Source organism: Homo sapiens, chromosome 18 (assembly GCF_000001405.40).
Source record: "Homo sapiens chromosome 18, GRCh38.p14 Primary Assembly".
In the NCBI taxonomy this organism is placed as follows: Eukaryota; Metazoa; Chordata; class Mammalia; order Primates; family Hominidae; genus Homo; species Homo sapiens.
Genome location: NC_000018.10, coordinates 31823932 through 31849762, shown reverse-complemented (window position 1 = coordinate 31849762; position 25831 = coordinate 31823932). Strand labels below are relative to the sequence as shown.

At 37.4% G+C, this 25831-nt stretch overlaps 1 protein-coding gene across 11 annotated transcripts in view, besides 3 other annotated features; it reads left to right on the top strand.

Annotated features, from left to right (window-relative positions):
- The window catches only part of TRAPPC8 (trafficking protein particle complex subunit 8), a 113932-nt gene extending 93366 nt beyond the window's left edge, over window positions 1-20566 (top strand). For 5 of the 11 annotated variants that reach the window (NM_014939.5, XM_005258233.4, XM_017025615.2 and 2 more), the window contains 5 exons: window positions 24-197; window positions 2946-3047; window positions 10306-10451; window positions 17590-17679; window positions 18774-20566. In NM_014939.5, coding sequence (NP_055754.3) covers window positions 24-197; window positions 2946-3047; window positions 10306-10451; window positions 17590-17679; window positions 18774-19008 — 747 coding nt within the window. In that variant the 3' untranslated portion in view covers window positions 19009-20566. Of the gene's footprint in view, window positions 1-23; window positions 198-2945; window positions 3048-10305; window positions 10452-12654; window positions 17452-17589; window positions 17680-18773 lie in introns of those variants that run through there. The other 6 variants (XM_017025616.3, XM_005258234.4, XM_047437354.1 and 3 more) reach the window with 3 other exon arrangements.
- Window positions 22358-22903: an enhancer, noted in NCBI's record as "NANOG-H3K27ac-H3K4me1 hESC enhancer chr18:29406823-29407368 (GRCh37/hg19 assembly coordinates)". NCBI's record gives its function as "activates a minimal SCP1, AML or CMV promoter by ChIP-STARR-seq in primed H9 embryonic stem cells {active_cell/tissue: H9 hESC(primed)}" and the evidence as "EXISTENCE:reporter gene assay evidence [ECO:0000049][PMID:30033119]".
- Window positions 22904-23449: an enhancer, noted in NCBI's record as "NANOG-H3K27ac-H3K4me1 hESC enhancer chr18:29406277-29406822 (GRCh37/hg19 assembly coordinates)". NCBI's record gives its function as "activates a minimal SCP1, AML or CMV promoter by ChIP-STARR-seq in primed H9 embryonic stem cells {active_cell/tissue: H9 hESC(primed)}" and the evidence as "EXISTENCE:reporter gene assay evidence [ECO:0000049][PMID:30033119]".
- Window positions 23450-23995: an enhancer, noted in NCBI's record as "OCT4-NANOG-H3K27ac-H3K4me1 hESC enhancer chr18:29405731-29406276 (GRCh37/hg19 assembly coordinates)". NCBI's record gives its function as "activates a minimal SCP1, AML or CMV promoter by ChIP-STARR-seq in primed H9 embryonic stem cells {active_cell/tissue: H9 hESC(primed)}" and the evidence as "EXISTENCE:reporter gene assay evidence [ECO:0000049][PMID:30033119]".

Here is a 25831-nt window from a genome sequence, read left to right as displayed (position 1 = left end):
CACAAGTGATTTTCTTTTAACAGATAATAAGTTCAGCAAGCCCATGTGCAGACTTCTTTTATCGAAGTTTATCTTCTGAATTGAAAAAACCACAAGCTCACTTGCCTGTGCATACAGAAAAACAGTCAACAGAGGATGCTGTGAGATTGATTCAAAAATGCAGTGAGGTAGATTTGAATATTGTCATATTATGGAAGGTATGTGCTACTAAATTATTTCAGCAAGCCTCACTTATAGATACTCGAGTCTTAAGCTAAGCACAAACGTATATTACTATTTATATTTTTTATGCTTATCTTTTCTAGTTTCAATATTGAAACTTTAACAGTTACATATTTTTTTTTGGCCTAAAAAAAGAATTCATTCAAATTAGATAACATTCTTCTGTGTTACTGTTATTTCTGTGTGTTACCGAGAATATTGTAGACATGATAAGCTCTGAAAGCAGGTGGTATTAAACTGTTCGGGGCATTTCCAAACATTCTACAGAGGGAAAAATAGCACCATGAACCTCTGGAAATCCACTACCTTGGCTCCAAAAACCATTAATTTTTTGTTATTCATATTTCATATAATCCATTTACCTTCTCTTCTCTTTTATTGTTAATTTTTTTGCTGTAGTATTTTTAAAATGACATATTTCATCTGTAAATGCTTTTATATGTACTTTTAACAGATGAAGACTTTTTTGTTTAATATAACTGCACAGTATTATCTTTCCCAACCAAATTAATAATTCTTAATTATCTAATTGATGGTCTGTGTTCAGTTTTTTCCAGATTATTTAAATATACTATTTTACCCTGTTAAAAAAAAATCAGATCCAAATAAGGTTCACACATGGCAGACCAGAATGAGATTATTTAGACATTAGTATTCCCTAAAGTTAACTGAACTATACTGCAAAGGAGTCTTAATTCTTACGTTACACCCTTTTGTATCATATGCATGTACTACCTATTTTTAAAAATTATTCTGCAGTAAAATTAAGGATCTTGTCCAAGAATAATCACCCGAACTTTGTGACAAGGTTTTGATTTTGTGTTGTTTGATGCAAGAGACATGTTCATACTAGGTGATCAATACATGTATTTTAAATTGACTCAGAAGTTTTTATGAAGTGTTTCTTTTTAAACCATGTTTTTAAATAAACATTTTTTTGAAACCAAGCTGACTTTGCATGTTTCAAATGAAATCTACTAAGTAAATTGATACTTTTGTTGATTATAGAAGGCATTTTATGTTAAGAAGATCAGTTATACATTATTGGCGAAATCAAATTCTTCCGAACTTTAGAATCATATTATATAAGTGTATAACGATCTTTGGCATTTGTGTCTTCATTCAATAGGTTTATGCCGTGTAGCAATCTATAATATTTCTGAGACAAGGTTTTGTGTAATGTATTCTGTACTCATTGTTAAGTGCATGGTATTCTTTGATGAGGGGAAAAGTGTTATCTTTTAAGAAATGGCCCTGAACCTAAAGCCCACTGCTGGTATCACTAATCACATAAAGAAGAAAGTTATCTAAGATTGTGATGCTCCTTGGCTGGGAAATGGAAGTTTGAATACATTAAATAATGGGTTATTAAGTTTGGTAGTGGCTAGTACCCTGGTAAGTTTATAATTTACTCAATGGAGAAAGTGACTGGTAGATTTTTGTTTGTTTTAGTTAGAGTTCTGGATAATGTAAAAATGATTCATTAGATTAAAGAAAACTTGAAAAGTCATTAAAGTTGTAGAGTAAGATGCACAGGAAGCATAGGACTCTTGAATGAAATATGATTCAGGAGAAAACCAAGAGCTTGAACATTTTTGTGAAGAAAAACAGTTGAAAAAGGGACATAATACAACTCCTAAACAACTTTAATCCAAAATAAAGGTTAGTTTTAAAAATCTAAGGTTTTGCACAAGCAGGAGGATGCATTATAGAATTAGCCATGGCTATGGGTGACTGTCGCTCAATGCCATAACATCATCAGAAAAGACATCTGACAAGTCTCAGACCCTTATCTGTCAGCTCTTATTCCTTCTTGATTAAACATTACCCTATCAGGTGTTTAACTTCTCCTGCCTTTCTGGGTTTTGCAAATATAGACGCTGAACAGGTCCTGAGCCATCCTATGCCTTACTGCAGCACTACTCAAAGTTTGTTCTGTGGATGGCAAACTGTCATTAGTCCATTATAAGTATAGAAATTGAAAGTAAACAAGAAGAAACTTTGATAGCATTTTGACTGAGTAATTTTATGTTTTTTGAACCTAACAGTAAAAATACCGGGCTTGTCAAAAAAATTAAGCCTTTGTGTTTGCACATAATGTGATAATGACAGTAGATCAGAGCCATTTATAGATTATATTTTCCCCAACACAGAAGCAATTGAAGAGAGAGAAGAGTTATAAACTGGAACAAGTATTATAATATAGATAAAGTCAGCTCACTATATTGGAAGAAAAAAGCCTTTTTTAAAGCATATGTATTTATATTTATGAACATAACATTTCCACTTACAGGATTTATGATTGTACTCACTGATTTTGCTCAGCTGTGTGATAAACCCTAGGACATTTCAGAAGCTAGGCTGTAAGAATAAGCCTTTTAGCTGTATATTGGTAGTTCAATAAAGAAAACAGCTTGTGTTATAGCACAGTTCTTTTAAAGTAGTTTCTTAAGAATTCTAAAGAATGTTGGAAAGGATTTCATGATGTATCTCTCTCAAATATCCAGGCCAACTGTGTTATATTGAGGTGAAAAGATTTGTTTTTTGGATAGATACTTTATTGATTGAATGAATAACTAAAAGTAGAAATGGTGACATTGCCAGGAGTGTCAATAATTGATAGATATTGGCCATATTATTTCCACTTTCTATCAAGTATTGGGTTGGTTACTTTAGAGGTTACTGTCAAGCACGGTAACGTTTTTGTACTTTGCATTTTTTAGGCATACGTTGTGGAAGACAGTAAACAGCTTATTTTGGAAGGTCAACATCATGTTATTCTTCGCACTATAGGAAAAGAAGCCTTTTCATATCCTCAGAAACAGGTGATAACATAGTTTGCTTTGGAGCTTTCTGGTGAACTTGTGGGTTTTTTTTTGTTGTTGTTTGGTTGGTTGGCTTTTGTGTTTTTGAAGGGGTCTGGTTTGTTCAGGTTTTGTTTTTTGGTTTTTTTTGTTGTTGTTTTGAGACTGGATCTCACTCTGCCACCCAGGCTGGTTTGCAATGGCACAATCATGGCTCACTGCAGCCTTGACCTCCCCGGGCTCAGGTGATCCTCTGGCCTCAGCCTCTTGAGTAGCTGAGACTACAGGTGTGTGCCACCACACCTGGCTAATTTTTGTGTTTTTTTGTAGAGATGGAGTTTCACCATGTTGCCCAGGCTGGTCTTGAACTCCTGGGCTCAAGCGATCCTCCTGCCTTGGCCTCCCAAAGTGCTGAGATTATAGGCGTGAGCTACCACGCACTGCCATGTTCAGGTTTTTATATTGGTATTTGGGTTGGGTGTTGGTGACAGAAGAATGATTAAAGTTAAAAGTGAACATAAATTGATTTTAAAATTCATTAGCACCTTTATCAGAGTATTAAGATGCAGTTATGGTTTTTGGGGTTTCCTCACATACATTCCATATTGAATCCAGAATTCATAGGTATGAAAAGAATTGATTTGCTTAAGAGTAGAGAAACTATATCTCTATATTTTCTTATTTGTTATAACAGGATATCATTGCAGAGCTCCGAGGGTATATTGTAATATGTAAAAGGTGGCCTCTGGAGTTGTGTAGCAGCTGCTGATAGCATTGAGTATGCTTTCTTATTTTTCCTAAAATAATACTTAATCTTACTGAAAAACTTTCATAGTAAATATGAATAGAATATAAGCACATTTAGTCTAGTAATTCAAACAATGGCCCTGTATTTTGTTTTTAAATAACAGATCTTAATTTTCAGGGCCCCACCTCCATTATTACTATTTTTTTTATTTCACCGTGGACCTGAAGGCAACCCCTCCCATTAGTTTTGACAACTTTTTATTATGAAATAATTTTCAAACTTACAGAAAACTTTCAAGAATAGTGTAAAAGACTCCCTTATAACTTTCATTCAGGTTATTAGTGGTTGACATTTTGCATTATTTGCTTTGTTGTTATTTACATATGTATTAGTTTTTTTCCCTTAATCGTTCTTAATTACTCCCAAGTAAATTGCAGGCATCCTGTCACTCTGTCCCTAAATATTAATACTTCATTGAGTATTCCTAAGAAGAAAGACAAATCTCTTACATTAAAAAAAAAAAACTACAACATTATCACATTCAGGAAGTTTAACATTGATGCAGTACTCTTCTTTACAATCCATATTCAAATGCTATCAAAGGTTTTAATTCCATCCATGTAACTATTTGCTCTTTTCTATCCAGGATCCAGTTCAGGATCATGCTTTGCATTCAGTTGTTATATCTCTTTAGTCTCTTTTAATCTGAAACAGTTACTTAGCCTTTATTTGTTGATCATGACATTGACATTTTTGAAGAGCTTGGGCCAGTTATTTTATTTTATTTATTTATTTATTTTTTTTTTTTTTGAGACGGAGTCTCGCTGTCGCCCAGGCTGGAGTGCAGTGGCCACCCGCCACCTCGCCCAGCTAATTTTTTTTGTATTTTTAGTAGAGACGGGGTTTCACCGTGTTAGGCAGGATGGTCTCGATCTCCTGACCTCGTGATCCGCCCGCCTCGGCCTCCCAAAGTGCTGGGATTACAGGCGTGAGCCACTGTGCCCGGCCTATTTTCTAGAATAATACCTCTTTGGGTTTTTCTCATGTCTCCTCATGATTAGATTAAGTTTATACTAAGTGATGTGTTGCATAAGAAAGTGCATGATGTTAATTTGCCTCATCAGTGTTGGATCATTTAAGGTGGTGCCATGTTTCTTCACAGTCAAGTTACTGTTTTTCCTTTCATAATAGTAAGTAATTTGTGCGGAGATAATTTGAGGTGGTATAAATGTCTGGTTTCTTTCTTTCTTTTCTTTTCTTTTTTTTTTTTTTTGAGACAGAGTCTCACTCTGTTACCAGGCTTGAGTGCAGTGGCACAATCTCGGCTCACTGCAAGGTTGCAGGTATTCTTCTAAGGCCATTGTTCACGTGCTTTCCTCCTGACAGGTGGTATATAGAAATGTATTCAGTATAATTTAGAAGTCTCAAATAAATAGCTTGTATTTTTTTGGTGACTTGAATATATTAATAATACATTTTTGAACTTTTTACTGAAGTGTAACATAAGTACAGAAAAGTAAATAGCTTATTTGATTTTCACAAACTGAGGAACACTCCAAACCAGGACCCAGATCAAGAACTAGAACCTAACCAGCACCCCAGAAGTTCTGCGTTTGTTCCTTTCCAATCAGAAATCTTTCTCTTCCAGACCAAACTTATAGTTACTTCTTTCTGACTTACAAGTCAAAAGCAAAACTACTGCTTTTGAATTTATGTAAATAGTCATACAATATATACCTCGGCTTCTTTTATTCAACTTCTGTGTTTGTGAAATTTATCCATATTGTTTGGTATACTTGTAGTTTTTTTATTTGCAACAAAAATTTCACCTGAAAACTTACTGACTGTTCTCCAATAAAAGGAGCCAGGGTTCCTTGGAAAAATGGTTGATTTTAGGGCTGGGGCAGAGAAAATGCAAGATGAACCAGAAGATATTATGGTGGCAGAAAGTAAGGAAATGTACCCAAACTGATTGAGAGCATATTGAATTTGTGTTTCTTGCAGGTTACAAAGTGGCTTTTATTCTCCTTTGGTCCTCATACTCTGTAAGCAAGGCAGGTAGAATTACACCCATTTTACAAATGAGACTCTGTGAAATAAGTACAGCTATAATATTTCATAATAATTTTCAGTTTTAAAATTGTCTGAGAGAAAATAGAAATCTGTTGATTGAGGATTTGTAATTTATCAGTTTTCACATTGTTCCGTCTATCCCCCAGGTAGACTTATTTATTGAGGTTGAATTTGTTTGCTTTATTTACTATTTTACTACAACCTCTTGGGATAGTGCTACCACATAATAAGTACTTGGTAATTATTAAGTAAATGAATAAAGAATGCTGAGTTACCAAATTCATTCCACTGCATTAAGAAACCAAAAATATTTTAACCAGATATGAGTGGCTCAGTCATACTAATAGTTTGCACACAAATAGATAGTACACAGTAAGCTTTAAGATTGCAACTTTCAACATTGCAGTTCTATAATCAGCATGTCTTTTAATTTTTGTTCTGCCTTATAAAGAATAAATATAGGGAATGCTGTGCACAAAATTATTTTACCAATGTAACAACAAAATCTATTTCCTTTAGCAAATATTCTATTTCCAGAACTTATATGTGTGCTTATGTTATGCATTTACTACATATGAAGTTCACGTAAACATTCATTCAGCTCACTTAATGAATGGTAAAATTTTAACCGAAAAAGAAAAAAGACAGAAGAGGTGATATTGTTTAATAAACTACAGGTTTCATTGAATGGTTGTTATAAAAAGAAAGGAATTATAATTTCTCTTGTTATTTTTAAATATAAGAGCCTGCTAAATTGATTGTGTTGCAGATTAATATACAACCCTTAAGTGTAAAGTGTTTTAGAAACATTTTTCCTTAAGAATTTATAAAAGGAAAGTCTTTCTACTTTTTATCTTACTATTTTGTACATGAATTTTTTTGCCTTGAAAATATATTCACCTTTAGATCTTTTTCTTTTCATAAAGTGATTCATTCACATAAAAAAAAACTATGTAATGGATCAGAGCAGAAATATGCAAGATTTGAAAGAGCATTCCTAGTCATACACAAACTGAATTCAGCCTGAGAGAAAATAAGAGATTGAGTATCCCTTCTCTGAAATGCTGGTACCCAAAGTGTTTTGGATTTTGGAATATTTGCATCATATACCTGCTAGGTGAGCATCCCTAGTCTGAAAATCTGAAATCCAAAATGGTCTGAAGAGCATTTCCTGTGAGTGTCATGTCAACACTCAAAATTTTTTGGATTTTGCAGCATTTCTGATTTCAGAGCGTTTCAGATTTTGCATCTTTGGATTTGGGCTGCTCATCCTGTATAAGTAAAGAAAGAAACTGTCCATCAGTAGGGGAGTCAGTCAGTTATAAAATTATAGAATAAAAAAGACATTGCCAATATTCATCCAACCATTGTCATGGGATAAGTAGGTTCTGCTTACCCACATTAGTATTTGGTGTCTCTGTAGTTACATCTTCATTGTGCAGGTGATCAGCCTGATGCCAGTCGACATTTATGTTACCTCACTAATATCCCTTGTCTGATTTCATGTCTCACAATCAGTGTTCTGAAACTTTGCTTCCTAAGTAAACTACCAACAGAAACCCTGTGCACATTGGTCAGTTGGTAGCAAATTATATTTATCACTATACATTGGCATTCATCCACATTAACTGTGTTGTAGTGATTAACATCTCACCATTACTTAACTCTGAGAAAATAGTGAGATTAAATACCAGTCTATAAGGCCAAATGACACACCTTGGACAAAGGTAAAATCACCAATATAAGTGTTATATTTTGAATCCTGTGAAAAGCTGGCAAGTAGCCCATACATACACCAAGATGCTTGTGTACCAAGGGTATACTAGTCTTGTATTTGAATCTCTAATTGACCAATCTAAATTTCCTTAAAGTCTGAAAGAAGCTGAGTGTGGTGGTACATGCCTTTAGTCCCAGCTGCATAGAAGACTGAGGTGGGAGGATTGCTTGAGGCCAGGAGTTCAAGACCAGCTTGGGTAACATAGCAAGACCCTGTCTCTTAAAGAAAACAAGTCTGAGATAGTTTATTTTTTTAAATAAATTTTAAAAACATTCAGCTAGAGAAAGTTATCTGATACTGGGGGATAAAGTAATCCACATAGGTAAATAACAATAATAGATACCATTCATAAGGTATTTGGTATTTGTCAAGTGTTGGTTCACATCAGTACTTAAAATTACAACCCTGTGAGGTATAGGTAGAAGTCCTCATAATCTGAATCCTCTGTTTAGGCAACAGCAGGCATATAAAATTATAATTTTAAGTCATATGATTAGCAGAAGGAAAATTTAATTGCCAAAGCAGTATAGCACAGTAGTTCAAAATAGAACTGTATTTGTATATAATCTCTGCCACTTAAAAAAGATCTTCAGTTTTTTTTTAACGTTTCTGAATTAATTTTCCTCTTTTTAAACATGCAAAAATACTTCCACCTACATCCCACATGTAAAGGCTATTACATTGTATCAGATAGTTTCTTTCTCTGGTTTCCCCTTAATCACATTTCTGTTCTCTTTCATATACTCTGGTTTATCTGATTTTTTAAAATTTTTATTATAAAAGTAGTAATTTTTATTGCAAAAAAGCAAAATATCCACAAGCTGTCAATTGGAAAGATAAAAAATTTAAAACAAAAAAAACAAATATACAAATGAGAAAGCAAATTCTGGTTTTCTTTTCTCTCCTCAGGGCCACTTTTTGAAATTACCCATAATCAAGTTCCTTTTCTATTCCAGAAATGTTCCATGCTTATGCAAATATAAGCATTGGAATATATGTATTTTTAACATGCTGTTAAACTTTATTTGACTATATGATATTTTTGGTCAATTTTCATACATTTGTATATCATACCAGTTTCAAATATTTTGCTTTTTACATATTTTGTGGGATAGATTTCTGGAAATGAAATTTCTGGCCATATGATTATATGCTTGTCTGTTACCACTGATTAGGCTATAATCTTTTTTTGTTTGTGTTTTTTAAAATTTGTCTTTTTTTTTTTTTACCAGTAGCCCCAGGGTGTTACTTGAATATAATATGGTTAATTTGTTAGTTGTTAATGGGATGAATCTGGAACCAGTGCCAGCTTTTATTTTATTTCCAGCAAATTTAGCTCTTGCTTTTGCAACTGTGTAGATAAGGGGTCAGCAAACTTACACTGAAAAAGGCCAGGAAGTATTTTAGGTTTTGCTCACCAGATTGACTATGTCATAATACTCATTTCTGTCATTGAAGTCAAAAAGCAGCCATAGACAGTATGTTGACAAATGGATGTGGCTGCGTTTCAATAAAACTTTACAAAAACAGGATGCAGGCTGGATTTAGCCCATGGGCTATGGTTTGCCAATTGCTGGTATAGATAAAAATCAAACTCGGCTATCAGAAAATTATAAATCAAATATTCTCCTGGGTGGTGAGGGAAAATAGAGAAAAAAAAATAACCAAGAAAGAAAATAATAGTAGAAATGGGATGTTTCTCTACTTTCATCTTTCTCTCTCTCTCACCCTCCCCAACTCCCTGCCTCCCTCCCTCCCTCCCTCTGTCTCTCTATTTATTTTGAGGCAGAGCCACATTCTGTTGCCCAGGTTGGAGTGCAGTGGTGCAATCTCGGCTCACTACAACCTCCGCCTCCTGGGTTCAAGTGATTCTCCTGCCTCAGCCTCCTGAGTAGCTAGGATTACAGGTGTGTACCACCACGCCTGGCTAATTTGTATAGTTTTAGTAGATGGCATTTCACCATGTTGGCCAGGCTAACCTCCAACTCCTGGCCTCAAGTGATCTGCCCTCCTCAGCCTCCCAAAGTGCTGGGATTACAGACGTGAGCCACCCTGCCTGACCTCTATTTTCATTAGATGATAATGATTATTTATTGAAATAGTCATAATGTGCCTGACAAACAGCTATGTTAATACTTTTTACGTGCATTTTAACCTTTAGCTAGTGTAGTTGAAGCACATTATAGTATAGATTATACTATACAATGCAGCAGGATATTTTCAGAATGAAATATTAAACAGTTTTAGATTTTCAGCTATTAAAATAGGTGCTATGCAATCGAATGTCTGCAGTCCTAAGTCCTGTGCAGTATTATCAGATGAGAATCACAACAACCTTTGAAGTTATTATTGTCATGAACTTCTTTTTACATATGAAGAAATTAATTATTAAAGTATTAAGTAACTTATCCAAGATAACAGAGCTAATATGTAAAGCTACTGAGATTCAAGTCTAACTCCAACACATAAGTGAGGAATGAATAAATGATTCCAGATACTGATTTTTTTATCTTAGATTACACTGCAAATGATAGCAGCTATTAGCTTAACAGCAGAAAAGTACTGTTCATGCATTACATTATCTCTGCTGATTTTAACTTTTGTATATATACACTATGCTTTTTTTTTTTTTAAACAAGGTAGTGTTTTTATTGTCATATGTTTTTTCTTTCTTTTCTCAGGAGCCACCAGAAATGGAACTATTGAAATTTTTCAGGCCAGAAAACATTACAGTTTCCTCAAGGCCATCAGTAGAGCAGCTTTCTAGTCTCATTAAAACGAGTCTTCACTACCCAGAATCATTTAATCATCCATTTCATCAAAAAAGGTTTGAGCTTTATTTTTGTTACCAAAATTTTCTACAACACACTGGCACGTGTATTTGTTTCTTTTATTTTGGCAGTGACATTAACCCAAATATTGAAGAGGAAATTTAGAATGTTTTTGAGTCTATAGAATACTTGAACTAAACAGTTCAAGTTTAGACAATATCAGTTAAAGATTTATTAAGTAAACTTCATGGCAAATGTGATATATTTGTAATTTTGGTAAATAGCTGGAATATATAAATCTCTAAAATTCTAAAAATAAGAAGTCCTGAATCAGGCAACACTTCAAAAGTTTGCCAGTTTTGCAAATAAAAGATGGAGAGAAGCCTATTAGAAACAATCTAAGTAATAATTGAAGGTATGAATTTTGGTGCAAACACCCTGGATGGGGATGGGGATAGGATGGAATAGAACAGAAAGAGGATGGTGACCTGTGGAACAGTAACATCTGAGAAAGAAGCTAAGGAAAAAGAAGCCTATGAAGAAAACTGAAGAAAAAGAACTAATTAAAAAATTAGGAAGAAAAGACCAATAAAAAGAAACTATCTCAAAGGTTGAGTGAGAATAGTTCAAGAGAAGTGGTTAATAGTTTAAGATGCTACAGAAAGGTCAAATAGTAAATGGGCCAAAAGGTCATTGGATCTGACAATAAGGAGATCATGATTTTTGAGAAGAATGCCACTGTATAGAGGGTAGAATAGCATGACATCATAGGTTGAGAAGCAAATAGGAGGTAAGAAAGTAAAGATACCGCGTTGACCATCCTTTCAAGAAACTGGGCTATGAAAAGGGATCAGGGAGTATCTGTTCTTACTAGGTACGATATAGGCATGTTTGTGGTCTTGAAGAAAATGATGAGATACAGGGAAACTAACAAAATCCTTAGTAGATGGAAAGATAAGATACATGCACTGAAGAATGACAGGATTTGCTTTGCGCTAAAGAAGGGACCTTCTTACACGTTATGTAGTGCCTCCATTTCAGGGGGTAGTTATAAGAGCAAGGTTAGCTAATTAATCTAGGAGATAAGAGTAAAGGGTAGAGAATTTGAAAAAAGTGAAATTTTAGGATAGCTACTGAGAAGATGCTAGCTGAGGATGCATAGAAGGAGTACTGGGCAAAATTAAGACCTTGACAGTGACTTTAAGAGAAAAAATATTTTAAAAAGTAACTTAGAGCCGGGCATGGTGGTACACACCTGTAGTTCCAGCTACTTGGGAGGCTGAGGCAGGAGGATCGCTTGAGCCCATTAGTTTGAGGCTACGGTCAGCTATGTTTGCACCATTGCACTCTAGCCTGGGCAAAACAGCAAGACCCTGTCTCTCTTTTTTTTTTTTTTTTTTAAGTGATTTTTTTTTTAACAAAGCTAACACCTAAATGATTATCTCTGTAATCTTTATATAAGTAGAATTATAGAGTATATTTGTATGTCTAGCTTCTTTCATTTAATACTGTGTTAGTAAGAGTCAGCCATTGCAGGAACCTGTAGAATTGATTTTCATTGCATGTGAGTATGTTTCGATATACCAGAATTAGTTTACCTACTTAAGTGTTAATGGACTTTTAAAATATTTTTTTTTCTTCTTCTTCTTTTTCTTTTTTTAAATTTTTCTGAGACAGAGTCACACACTGTCACCCAGGCTGGAGTGCAGTGATACGATCTTGGCTCACTGCAAACTCTGCCTCCCAGGTTCAAGTGATTCTCGTGCCTCAGCCTTTGAGTAGCTGGGATTACAGGCATGCACTGTACACCACCAGGTCAGCCAAATTTGGTATTTTTAGTAGAGATGCGGTTTCACCATGTTGGCCAGGCTGGTCTTGAATTCCTGGGCTCAGGCAGATTGCCTCGGCCTCCCAAAGTGCTGGGATCACAGGCGTGAGCCACCACGCTCAGCCATAGAATAGTTTCTGATTTGAACTATTTTGAATTCTGCTGTGAATATTCTACACCTTTCCTTGTACATATGTGCTTGCCTTTTTTTTTTTACATAGTAACGTCTCCAAAGTGGTTTTACTAATTTGCATATTCCAATAGCAGCATATGCGAATTCCTTCTGCTTGATACCTTCACCAGCACTTAACTCTTGTTGGATCTTTAAAAAATTTTATCCTAAGTTATTTTTTAAATACTTGTGGTCCTAAGTCTTTGTCATGGTCTTAATGTTGCCCAGTACTCATGCTTTGTTCCTTTCTCTGATACAGATGTATGCAGGGTTCACCTGGGGAAATGTAAGAAATACTGAAGGATGGGCCGGGCGCGGTGGCTCACGCCTGTAATCCCAGCACTTTGGGAGGCCAAGGCGGGCGGATCACGAGGTCAGGAGATCAAGACCATCCTGGCTAACACGGTGAAACCCCATCTCTACTAAAAATACAAAAAAATTAGCCGGGTGTGGTGGCGGGCACCTGTAGTCCCAGCTACTTGGGAGGCTGAGGCAGGAGAATGGCATGAACCCAGGAGGCGGAGCTTGCAGTGAGCCGAGATCGTGCCACTGCAGTCCAGCCTGGGCGACAGAGCGAGACTCTGTCTCAAAAAAAAAAAAAAAAAAAAAGACTGAAAGATGCTTCATTCAGTCCTACCCCCAGAGGTTCCAGTTTGATTGGCCCAGAGTAGGGGTTGGCATCTGGATTTTCTTAAGTTCTCCAGGTGATCCTAATATGCAACCATAAGTGAAAATAAAAATGTTTGTGTTTTATCCTTATTGAACCTCACACACTTCTATGAACAATTTTGATTCTGTGATTCATTTTAACCCAATCTTCTACTTCAGCTCTGTTTATTAAACCCGTCCTGCTTCATGTACTTTCTGAATAACCTTGGTGCTTCTTTTTAACCTTAGTGGTTAAACCTTTGCTGCATTGAGAGGCTAGGATGTTTAGGAGTTCTCTACATCATTCTACTTAGGGGTTAAAAAACCCTATGGAATCTATGTGAAACAGGAAAGTTTTGATCAAACTAAAGTAGAAGAGTGGGTTAAATGAAGCATTCCAAAATCAAAACTCTGCATGGAAGTATGTGAAAACAAGGCAGGTTCAAGGATAAAATGTGGCAGTTTTCTCCTTGGCTGCATGTTAGAATCATTTGGGAATTTCTGACATTTCCAATGCTTGGGCTGATTCAATCAGATTCTCTGGAAGCAGGGTACCGGCATCTCTAGTTTTAAAATGTCTGCAGATCATACCCATGTCCATCTCTATTAGTCATTGTTGCCACAATAATGCTTCATAACAAACCATTTCAGAAATGAGTAGCTTATAACAAAGCATTTATTTCCATACTCATGGGTCTGCCAGTTGATAATTTGGCCGAAGCTGTGCTTTGGTCTGTGTGCTGTTTGGATTTGGCACCTGAAGAAACTTGGGTTCCCGTCTGTGCCACATATATTTTGGGCCCAGTCCAAAGGAGCAGCTGCTACCTGGAGTATGTTCTGGTGGCATGTCTCCGGAGTATAAAAAGTGAGCCACATTGCAAAAGCACATTTAAGACTTTTGCTTGCATCAAAAGATGTTAATATTTCATTGACCAAATAGCCTCACTTCCATATCAACAAGGATGATTCACAGTCCCACAGAGAGAGTGAATAACTGCTAAGCAGTACTCACAGTTACCACAGTAACCAAGGTTGAGAACCATTGAAATGAAGGATCAAGTGACTGGGTGTCTGTGTAAAACTCAAAAACAGATGAGAGAGTATAATTGAGAAAGCTAGAGAGTTGGGAGATGGTGGTCAAAGTGGGGTGACCGAGTATTATGTTAGGGATAGTTGTCTAATGTGATGGGAAAAAATTTCATGGTTTGGTCATGGAAGTTGTGTGGCTGAGTTTTGAATAGTACTGAAGATTATGGAGATGATAGGTCCAGGATTTGGGAAGGTGCTGAATAAGTCATATACCTAGACAGTGAAGTTGTCCAAAATGATGACAAGACTTGGAGTTGAAGGAAGAAAACAAACTTCCCTGACACTTTTAAAATTATGCCAATAGATAGTACAGAGGAGGGTAGCGAGAGAATAGTGTCTTACTAGGTGTATGCCTCTGCTTGACCGATACAGCAGATGAATTCACAAATGGGAGGTAAAGCAGATGTTCAGACTACACATGCTTCATCTTTACCTCAAATATTTCAGAATATCCATTTCTTCCCCTTTCCCCCAAAGAATTCTCGCTGTACTGAGTTACTGTCACTGTGTTTGTTAGAATGGGAACAGAAAAAAGAATACAAACCTTAAGGTAGTTTATGATGAAAAAGTGGAGGCATCTTTACAGGAGAGGTAGTAGAAAGAAATCATTAAGAACTACATCAGCCACCCTGAGGTATGGAAGATGTTGGAAGAAATACAGCATCTATTGTTGAGAGGACAATACAGTTAAAGATAGATGTAGAAACACAAAGAGAAGAGATGGAGGATATAAGGAAGCATTCTTAATTTAATGGGGGTTTCAGAAAACAAGTAGAAATGTGAGGAAATGGGACAGTAGGAGGTTTGGTCATGGTAGTGGGACACAGAGCAGTAGAGGTATGAGAATAGAAGAAAGAATAGGTGACAGGAGATAACAAAGATAAAATCATACTATGTTTAGCTGCCATGAGCATAAATTGTTATATTAAATAATGTTTATGGAGCTTTTGAACATGTGCTAGTCACCATTCTCAGCACTTAACATGTTTTACCTAATCACAACAAACCCAAGAGGTAGAATCAATTATTATTCTTTGCAGTTTACAGTTGAGAAAACTGAGGTACAGGTAGCAGTCTGACTCTAGAGCCCAGCTTTTTCACTGGATGCAGTGGTGGGAGAATAGTTGTCAGAACTTTGATTTCTCAGCCCTGTTTGTGGTTCATTAGATTAGCATTTTAGAAAAACTAATGTGTAAAGCAGTTTTCAAAATGTGGTCCCAAGACTGGACCTGGTGGCACACACCTGTAATCCCAGCACTTTGGGAGGCCAAGGCGGGCGGATCTCCTGAGGTCAGGAGTTCAAGACCAGCCTAGTCAACATGGTGAAACCCCATCTCTACTAAAAAATAAAAAAAAATTAGCCGGGTGTGGTGGCGAGCGCTTGTAATCCCAGCTACTGGGGAGGCTGAGGCAGAATAGCTTGAACCTGGGAAGCTGAGGGTGCAGTGAGCCAAGATCGTGCCACTGCACTCCAGCCTGGGCAAAAAGAGCAAAACTCCATCTCAAAGAATAAAAAACAACAACAACAACAACAACAACAACCAAAATGTGATCCCAGACCAGGAGCATTAGTATTAGTATCATCTGGGAACTTAGAAATGTAATTTCTGTTTTTTGTTTTTTTTTTTTGAGACGGAGTCTTGCTCTGTCACCCAGGCTCGAGTGCAGTGGTGTGATCTCGGCTCACTGCAAGCTCCACCTCCTGGGTTCATGCCATTCTTCTGCCTCAGCCTCCCGAGTAACTGGGACTATAGGCACCTGCCACCACGCCCGGCTACTTTTTGTATTTTTAGTAAAGACGGGGTTTCACCATGTTAGCCAGGATGATCTTGATCTCCTGACCTTGTGATCCGCCCGCCTCGGTCTCCCAAAATGCTGGGATTACAAGCGCAAGCCACCGTGCCCAGCCTAGGAATGCAATGTTTGGGCCACACTCCAGACCTATGGAATCAGAATCTCTGAGAGTAGGCCCAGCAGGTTTTTTAAAACAAGCTTGCCAGGTATTTCTGGTGCATACTCAAGTGTGAGAAACATGGTTAAAGAATAGATTGCATTGTGGTGCTAATTAAGAGGCTCTTGCAGTAAAATGAGACATGAGACTTGAACTTGTAAGGAAAATGAGATACAGTGAAGTAACCAGGTTCCAGAGATGTGTGGGTGAGAGAATTGGCAGGAATTTGTGAAGAACATTGGGAGTGGAGGTTAGTGACTGTTAGGAGGAATCAGTATGATACTTACAGTTTGCTGGGGTAGATGGGGGTGCTCTTCACTGGAATGAAGATGATGAGTTTCACTTTGGACCAGGAGATATCCACATGTTCACATTTCTTCTTCTACTAGAAGCATTTGTATAAGGTACAAAGAATTTGACATTTGAGGATCAAATGGGAACAGAATAGCATAAGTTCCTGAATTTTTACTTTGGGCTACAAATTATGCAATTGGAACTTAATTTAATGAGATGCTTCAGACTGACTGGACACCTACCCAGTAGTCTTTGTTGCCCTTCTTGCCACATGAGAAGTTTGTGGGGGAAGTTAGGGCATAGCACCAGTACAACCTGGTATGTATTTTAAATCATCTTAGTTTTTGTTTAGGGAAACCTGTGACGTTTGCGGTATTGTTTAAAAAGTATTTCTCAGTAAGAAGATATAAAGTTTCTGAAAGTATAAAATATATTATCTGAGCAGAATTTAAAAGTTAATGTGTATGAACTTATACGGTTACTATTTTTTCTTCTTTACTATCTTTGTGTTTATAGAGTAAAAGGTAGATAATAGTATATAACCCTGCTTCATTTGTACATGTTATATTCATTTCTTGCATTCTTGATTTGAAATCTGTACCACTCTATTCGCATGTCCTCTTCTATCACTGCCTTTTTTCCTATGCTTTAGTAATTTATTAATTATGGTATCAGAAACTAGGCTACCTGAGCAAAATGTATCCACTCGAAAGAGATTTCCTCATAACTATATAGAAATCATTCTTATATTCTTCAAAACATGATGTTGTGCAAATTTGATAGAAAAACAAATGTCAGTCTAGGCCAAGTTCTCAAAATTAAGTAATTTTTAATAAGCACAAAGACAACAGTATTAGTTGTTGGCATTTTCATGGTTTACTTTTTCTTCATTGATCTAAGTTGAGATTTTGTTTTTCATTTTGTGAAATATCTAGAAACATTTTAGTTGTTTTTAGAAGATTAATAAATGAAAATAAAATAGTTCTGTGAATGTATATATTCTGATATTTAATATTGTCATTGTATTAATATATTTTTTATTTACAATATAATTTGTCTTGAGTGATTTTGGAACTTGAGCTTTTTCCTTCTTGAATCTGATTGTTTTTAAGGAGCTTATGCTCTGTTACATAGTCTTAAGTGTTATTTTCAGGAAAATTGCTTTTAAGAAGAAAAAAATATATAACTTTTTTGTTTATTTTTCTTCCATAGCCTTTGTTTAGTACCAGTCACTCTTTTACTTTCCAATTGTTCTAAGGCTGATGTAGATGTCATAGTTGATCTTCGGCATAAAACAACAAGGTAAAGATTTGTTTAGTGCAAGGTTATTTGATTTGGGAGCAATTTAATATTTTGAAATTATGCAAATAATTACCTAACATGGATAAGAAAGTTACTCAAGCTTGTCCTGGTTTTTTGTTTGGTAATATAGAAGGCTTACAGATGTGTTACAGAGGCTTTAAATATTAAAGATTTTTTTTTCTTGATTATAAAATAGTACTTAACAACAAAAAAAAATCCAGATCCACAGTCCCACATCAGATACTCCTAGAGCCAAATGCTTTTGGGAATTCAGAAATTTTTGAATTTTTGGAAAAATACTATAAAGCGTATACTTAATATTTTTGTATAACACCCCAAACAGGATCTGGGACAGTTCTCTGAAATCCAAACACACACCTATATATGTGATTTTGTGTATCATAAATTTATTAATACTTTATTGGGTACTGGGTTTTCCATTTTTCAATATTATAAACAGTTTCAATATTAAAAGCATTCATGTACAGACACTTATATATGGCTAACTAAGGAGTTAAAAGTTTAGGTTTGAAATCAAGTTCCAACATATACTAACTCTTAGGGCATTAAATGAAATAATCCACTTTTAGCATTGTGCCTAGAGAATAGAAACTATTAAATAATAAATGTTAGCTGTTATAGTAATGATGTTGCTATTATTAATAAACAGTTGGCTTCATAAAATAATTTTTAGAAATAGAATTGTTAGATGAAAGGGATGTTTGTTTTCTTCTTGAGATGGAGTCTTGCTCTCTCATGGGCTGGAGTGCAGTGGTGCAATCTCAGCTCACTGCAACCTCCGCCTCCCAGGTTCAAGTGACTCTCCTGCCTCAGCCTCCTGAGTAGCTGGGATTACAGGCGTGCACCACCATACCTGGCTAATTTTGTATTTTTAGTAGAGACGGGGCTTCATTATGTTGGTAGGCTGGTCTTGAACTCCTGATCTCAGGTGATCCACCTGCCTCAGCCTCCCAAAGTGCTGGGATTACAGGCGTGAGCCACCGCGCCCAGCTGAAAGGGATATGTTAATGTGACTTTGGGAAAAAAATTAAAAAGAAAAAAATCCTGCAACTTACATTTTCCTCCTCCCTTAGTCCAGAAGCACTGGAAATCCATGGATCATTCACATGGCTTGGACAAACACAGTATAAACTTCAACTTAAAAGCCAGGAGATTCACAGTCTGCAGCTGAAAGCATGCTTTGTTCATACAGGTGTTTATAACCTTGGAACTCCTAGGGTATTTGCCAAGTTATCGGACCAAGTTACAGTGTTTGAAACAAGTCAGCAGAATTCCATGCCTGCCCTGATCATCATCAGTAATGTGTGACAACTTGGAAATTTGTACTGAAATCCACAATAATCAGTTTTTGCTGGATGGGTTTTACAGCAGTATTTGATATACCTAACTTGTTATGGAGGTTGATTGATATCTGATCCCTGCAAAATACTTTGACTTGTCATTTTGTTGATGATGCAAAGCACGTTGGACTGAGAATACTTAACATTCTTTTTCTGTATTTCTTTAAACCCTGAGAATAATTTACATGCTCATAATACAGGATATCAGCATATTTGTGCACCTTATTAAGCCCCATCTTAAGAAAACACAAAGTCTAAGTCTGCTGTTACAACTTGTCAATGGTATACGAATATTAGGAGATGATTCTGAGAAAGGAAAGGCCTTGTTGGCAGTACTCCTGTTAAGCCATTAGTCTCTAAATTCCAGCTTTACTGTGAAGTTCTATAGAGTGTTAAATACAAATTTTCCTGTCTTGCTTCACACAGTTCCTTAAAATCAGTTTTGAACTTTGGTCATAGAGTCTTCATATTTCAGTATTTGGTGGTCCCTATGACTTATACATAACTTTGTAAAAAGAAAAAAAAATTTTTTCTGATGCTTTGAATATAGTTTTGAAAGGAGTTTTGACTTTTTTCCCCTCATTCATCTCAGTATAGAGTGCGCTATTTCACAATACGATTTTTGTCATTAAAATTACCATATTCTTTATTATATAACGTTAACTATTGAGTTGATCTGTTTAAAATATAAATCTCAAGTTAATTAAAAATAAGCTTTTCAAAAATGTATTATATTTATAACAAATATACTGTAAATAGAATAAAGACATGCTATTCACTGTATAGCGTATTAGTATCTGTTGATTAGAAAGTCTGGTTTCAAAATATTTTTTTATTCAGAGAATGGGCATTTGGACATAAGAAATTTCAATTCAGCCCTGCTGCAGATAGAGAAATGGGAGCAAGGTTGTTTCAATGAATATCTCTTGTCATTGGAGAAGGAGGGAAGACAGGGTGTAGGAGTGGGTGGCAGGGAGTACAAGAGCCAGGGTCAGTCAAGTCTGGAGCAGATGGGGTCCTTGTGCCATTGACAGCTACCATGGTTTGTTCCAGTCTCAATCTCGGCACTAATCGGAGCAGACTGCACCAAAGTGGGGAGAGATCAAAAGACCCCGTTTTCAGACTGAAGATTCCAAACCTGTACTTGGAACAACTCTTCTTGAGAGATGGGTGGCTAGTCTGTGTGCCTCTCTGCAACTGCTGCTTATGCTTCTGGATCTTAAGTGGGTCTCTGGCTTTTCAGCTCCTTCCACTCTGTGTCTTAGCAGGTGTGGGACAAGTTGGAGAGGAAGGTCACATTCTAAGGACACTCATTTCCTTCTTGAGAGTTTAGGGCCATGGGCTTATAAAAAGTCTGAGGAGGAAAGACAAGAATGAGGAGGCATAATCACAGTGGTATCTCATATTTAAACCACTCAGCTGAATATTAAATTGAACCGATTGTTAAACAGACACTAATAAAAAAATTAAACTATATAAACCTACAACTGAATATATTAAAAATAAAGGTAATAAAGCACTCAAAATTACTTCCTGAATATTACTCAGGATTATTTATGTCTATTTTATCTGTATCCTGGAAATACTACACAATGGTGTGTTTCTGCTCATCTCTTGCCAACCCTACATTCAGTGACTTGCTGGTAGCTTGAAATCAATGATAGTAGAATGTTTACCTCAGGAAAACCAGCAAATGCTACACACCAGGGCTTGATTTATTTATTTTTGTTGTCTACGCTAGACCTAAGAAAGTGATGGAGAAAATGTTAGTGATGCATATTAAAAGTGTTGCATATTTGTAGCTGTAACGAGTAGCACAAATAGTTTAGGAAAATATTCCTGCAGTATCTGAAAAGTTTTACCCAGTTCAACAAAGAAGTTGCCCGTATCACTGATGAACTAGTGAAGATCCAACATGTGTTTTCTCACTTCCTCTTCCTCGTTAATGTAAACAGAAATATCAACCAGCATTCATACTAAAATTATTCTCGCTTATCAATTGCAACATAGGTTGGTTTTCTATACAAGAGCTCAGCAAAAATCAAAGAAACTACTCTGAGTGGCCGGGCGCGGTGGCTCACGCCTGTAATTCCAGCACTTTGGGAGGCCGAGGCGGGTGGATCACGAGGTCAGGAGATCGAGACCATCCTGGGTAACACGGTGAAACCCTGTCTCTACTAAAAATGCAAAAAATTAGCCGGACGCGGTGGCGGGCACCTGTAGTCCCAGCTACTCGGGGAGGCTGAGGCAGGAGAATGGCGTGAACCCGGGAGGCGGAGCTTGCAGTGAGCCGAGATAGCGCCACTGCACTCCAGCCTGGGCGAAAGAGCGAGACTCCGCCTCAAAAAAAAAAAAAACTTCTCTGAGAATCAATTGGCTTTTTGGAATTTACAATAAAGAGTATTGCATATTTTATTGTTACTTGTAAAGTGTGTGCTACACAAACTTTAGCAGTTTAAAAGATTTTTTCCCCTGGAGAATAATTTGATAAACATTCATCAGCATACCTCTGGGCGTAGACCATGAGAAATGTTCCGACATCTACATTGCAGCTGGTCAAGAACTAAGGTATCTTATGGAATCTTGCAGCTTTTAGAACCCAGTGGGGCAATGGTTCTCAAAATGTAGGAGGAGCATAATCATTAGGGAGTTAATAAAAATGTAATACCAGAGGTTCTACCTTCTGAACCCAATTTCGTTGGTCTGGTTTGGGGATGAAACTTTGTTTTTGTTGTTAATTTCCATTTGTTTTCATTTGTTGTTTTTAAATCTTGGGATTTTAACAAGCCCCGGTTCTGAAGAACGGATCTGCATAGTACACTTTGGGAAACATTGTCCCAGGAAGCCTGAGAAGCACTTTATAAGGTCGATTAAATTGTCAGGCACATCATGGAAATGTCAATCTTTAAAAGTTCTTGGTAGCTAGGCCAGTATTTTAAACACATGCCTCTAAGATACAGTGATTTGTTCAAAGACTACTTTTCTACTTCAAGGATATTGAAATGAAAATTGAGTTTCTAGTAGCGCATTTGTTCAGTTAGGTTAAACACTTGATAAGGCTGGGGTTGACAATCCCAGCCTGCCTATCAATTTTATTATTTCTTGGCTTTTGATCAGAACTATGAACTCTTACAAGCTTTTGGTGTTGGTTGGCCTATTTTGCCATTCACAATTACTAGGTTATTTTGGGCCGATACATGTAGTCTCTACTAGGTATAGGTAGATGAGAGTTATAGAGAGGATGACCACATAAGTTTTCATCCCAAAAGAGACATTTTGAGAGTGAAAGAGGGCACTATTAACAATTACAATTATGGGGACAATGGGATAAACTGGGTCTGTTCTGGGCACCAAGCTGTAGGGGCCAAGGGAAAGCTTCCCCTCTGCCTTCAAAAGGTTCACTGAAAATAAACTGACAGCAAGCTGATCATAGAAGAAGACATGTGAAACTTATTTAACCTGCTTAAGCACAGGGGAGTCACATGAGAACAATTTCCCAGTAACCCAGTGAGATCCAGATGCGTACTACTTCATAGAAGAAAGGGAGATGGAGGTGTGGCAATTTTGAGGAGTAGTAAATGATAATTAGTGGGAGTGAATGGACCTGGAGGCAGTAACTTGTAAATGACTCTCTGGAATTTCAATGAGCCCAAGAGGCAAACATTGTCAGGCCTCTGAGACCAAGCTAAGCCATCATATCCCCTGTGACCTGCACATATACATCCAGATGGCCTGAAGCAACTGAAGAATCACAAAAGAAGTGAAAATGGCTGGTTCCTGCCTTAACTGATGACGTTACCTTGTGAAAATCCTTCTGGCTCAGAAGCTCCCCCACTGAGCACCTTGTGACCCCTGCTCCTGCCTGCCAGAGAGCAACCCCTTTGACTCAACACCTTTGACTGTAATTTTCCAAATCCCGTAAAACTGCCCCCGCACCATCTCCCTTCGCTGACTCCTTTTTCGGACTCAGCCCGCCTGCACCCAGGTGAAATAAACAACCTTGTTGCTCACACAAAGCCTGTTTGGTGATCTCTTCACACGGACGCGTGTGACAAACATTATCTTGTGTAAAAGTCTTTCCAGGTGTGGTTTCATTCCTCAGTCTTTTCTGAGATAGAAAATGAGATTTCAGAGAGGGAAGAGGGGGCAGTCCCTCTGGTGAGTCCAGTCTTAAGGTAGATAAAGGACTATCAGAGAAAAACCTTATCCTGTGCTTTAGGAGAAATAGGGCTGGGGTAGAGTCAGTGTGGAGGTGGGAGGTAGAAAGACCTTGAGGCTGCTGCTTTAGTTCAGCATGTCAAAGGGCCATATTTCGGGGTATCATATTCCGAGCCTCATGTGGTAGGAGTTATTAATAAATTATTTCAGGCAGATAGGAAAAGGGGTCCTTGGAAAGTTGTTTCTTTTTTTATTATTATACTTTTAAGTTCTAAGGTACATGTGCACAACGTGCAGGTTTGTTACATAGGCATACATGTATCATGTTGGTTAACTGCACCCATCAACTCACCATTTACATTAGGTATTTCTCCTAATGCTATCCCTCCCCCAGCCACGAAAGTTGTTTCTTTTAAAGCAGCTAAGTTGTTTCTTTTAAAGTAGCTCCAGAAACCTTTCTCATCTAGCAGGAAAGCCCCAGGTCTTACAGCTGGGCTGCCAACCTTTGATATGCAAATACAGTCCATTAGAAACTGGATCCCCCCAAACATGGTGATTCCCACCGTTGTTCTCTTGCCCTTGCTCCCATGTGCCTGGCAATGTGGCCACCCCCACATATCCCCATGTGTGTAGAACATCACGGTGCCCTTCATTTGCATATTAAAAGGCTAGGGTGGGAGGGCCAGTTTTTGTGGGCTACATGAATGACATGCCTGGTCAAACCAATCCCTTGAGCCCTATGCAAATCAGACACTGCCTCCTTCAGCCTCCTCATATAACTGGCTGGTATCCACCGCACTTGGGGGTCTCCTCTCTCGGCTTTGGAGTCCCCCTCCCTCTGTCTCTATACGGGGGAGCTTCTTCCCTCTGTTTTCTCCCTTCTTTCTTGCTTATTAAAGTCTTCACTCCTTAAAAACCACTCCACGTGTGTCTGTCATTTCATCTAATTCGCGTGAGACAAGAGCCCTGGTGTTCCTCCACTCATCAGTGCTGTATCACTAACACTGGGATGTGTATTCACATCCACTACAGCTCTCCTCCTCTCAGGCTGTCTACCCACTAGTATGTTACAATGAGTTTGGCCACATATACAAATACTTCATATTAACAAGGCAATCATATGATTACTTAGATGCTTGGGGAAATTCCAATTCCCTACCTTTTGGCAGAAGGGGTCACTCAATTCGGATATGATGGACAACAAGGAATCAAGGGACAGAACCCTCTGATAGCTTAGTGACCAGAACCAGGACTGAATTTTAGCCTTGGGTGGAGCATGCCACTCCAATGGGTATGTTACAGGAAAAGGGTTCCGATCCAGACTCCAAGAGAGGATTCTTGGATCTCTCCCAAGAAAGAATTCAGGGCAAGTCCACAGTGCAAAGCAAAAGGGAGTTTGTTAGGAAAGTAAAGTGAAAGGACAGCTACTCCATACATAGAGTAGGACGTTCCCGAAAGTAAGAGGAGGAACACATCCATCCTAGGTACAATGCTTGTATATGTGGGGAGATGTGTTCTGCCACAAGGGTTTGTGTTAAAGAATTAATTTTCTTAATTACTATATTTTGCAAGAATCGTTATTATCATCTTTAAAGCAAAATTAGGAATGTCTTTGTTCTCCAGACATCAGGATATCGGGACATTCCCAAGTCTGGGTCTGTTTTAGTAAGCATTATTAATTTGTTCCCTTAACTGTAAATGTCTAGAGGCTAGGAATGCCTGTTTTTTCTGAGAATGCGGCCTAGCCAGTCTCAGCCTCATTTTCCTAAACCTCACTCAAAATGGAGTCTCTCTGGTTCAAGTTCCTCTGACAGGTATGGGCTACTGGCCTAACTAGATTTTTTTTTTTTTTTTTTTAAGACAGGGTCTCACTGTGTCGCCCAGAGTGGAGTGCAGTGCTGTGATCTTGCCTCAATGCAACCTTTGCCTCCTGGGCTCATGAGATCCTCCCACCTCAGCCTCCCAAGTAGCTGGGGCTACAGGTGCATACCACCACGCCTGGCTAATTTTTGCATTTTTAATAGAGACAGGATTTCACCATGTTGGCCATGTTGGTCTCAAACTCCTGGCCTCAATTGATCCACCTGCCTCAGCCTCCCTAAGTGCTGGAATTACAGGCATGAGCCACTGCACCCGGCCCCTAACTAGATTCTTAAGCCACTTCATCCAAGCATGTAGGAGTTTGTACAATATCTCTGGTCAAACACCTAGTTTGAACACCACTCATATCTCCTTAAAGTTATAAATCAAAAATAAAATTCTAAGCCCCCAACCGACTGAACAGACTTTTAGGCTTGGCCAAGGGGATCCCAGAAACTCCTGAAAAACTAAATTCCAGGCCATGACAGGAAGGGAAGTCAAACACACCTTGTTATACCTCCTCTCTTTTGGAGTTCAGACATAGCTGACCAGCATTAACATTAAATTAGAGAACACAAGACTGACAAAACAGCCTCTGGCAATACGGTACCAAATTGCAATCTGACTGGTATAGCATCCCATGACAGCAGACCATGAGGGAAATAAAAACATTTTACATCAAAATATATTTCTTTGACATATTTTTAAATGGCCCTGCAAAGGTGTCTTTTGTAGGGGAAGTTTGCATCCATAGAAAATCTTCATTATTACAG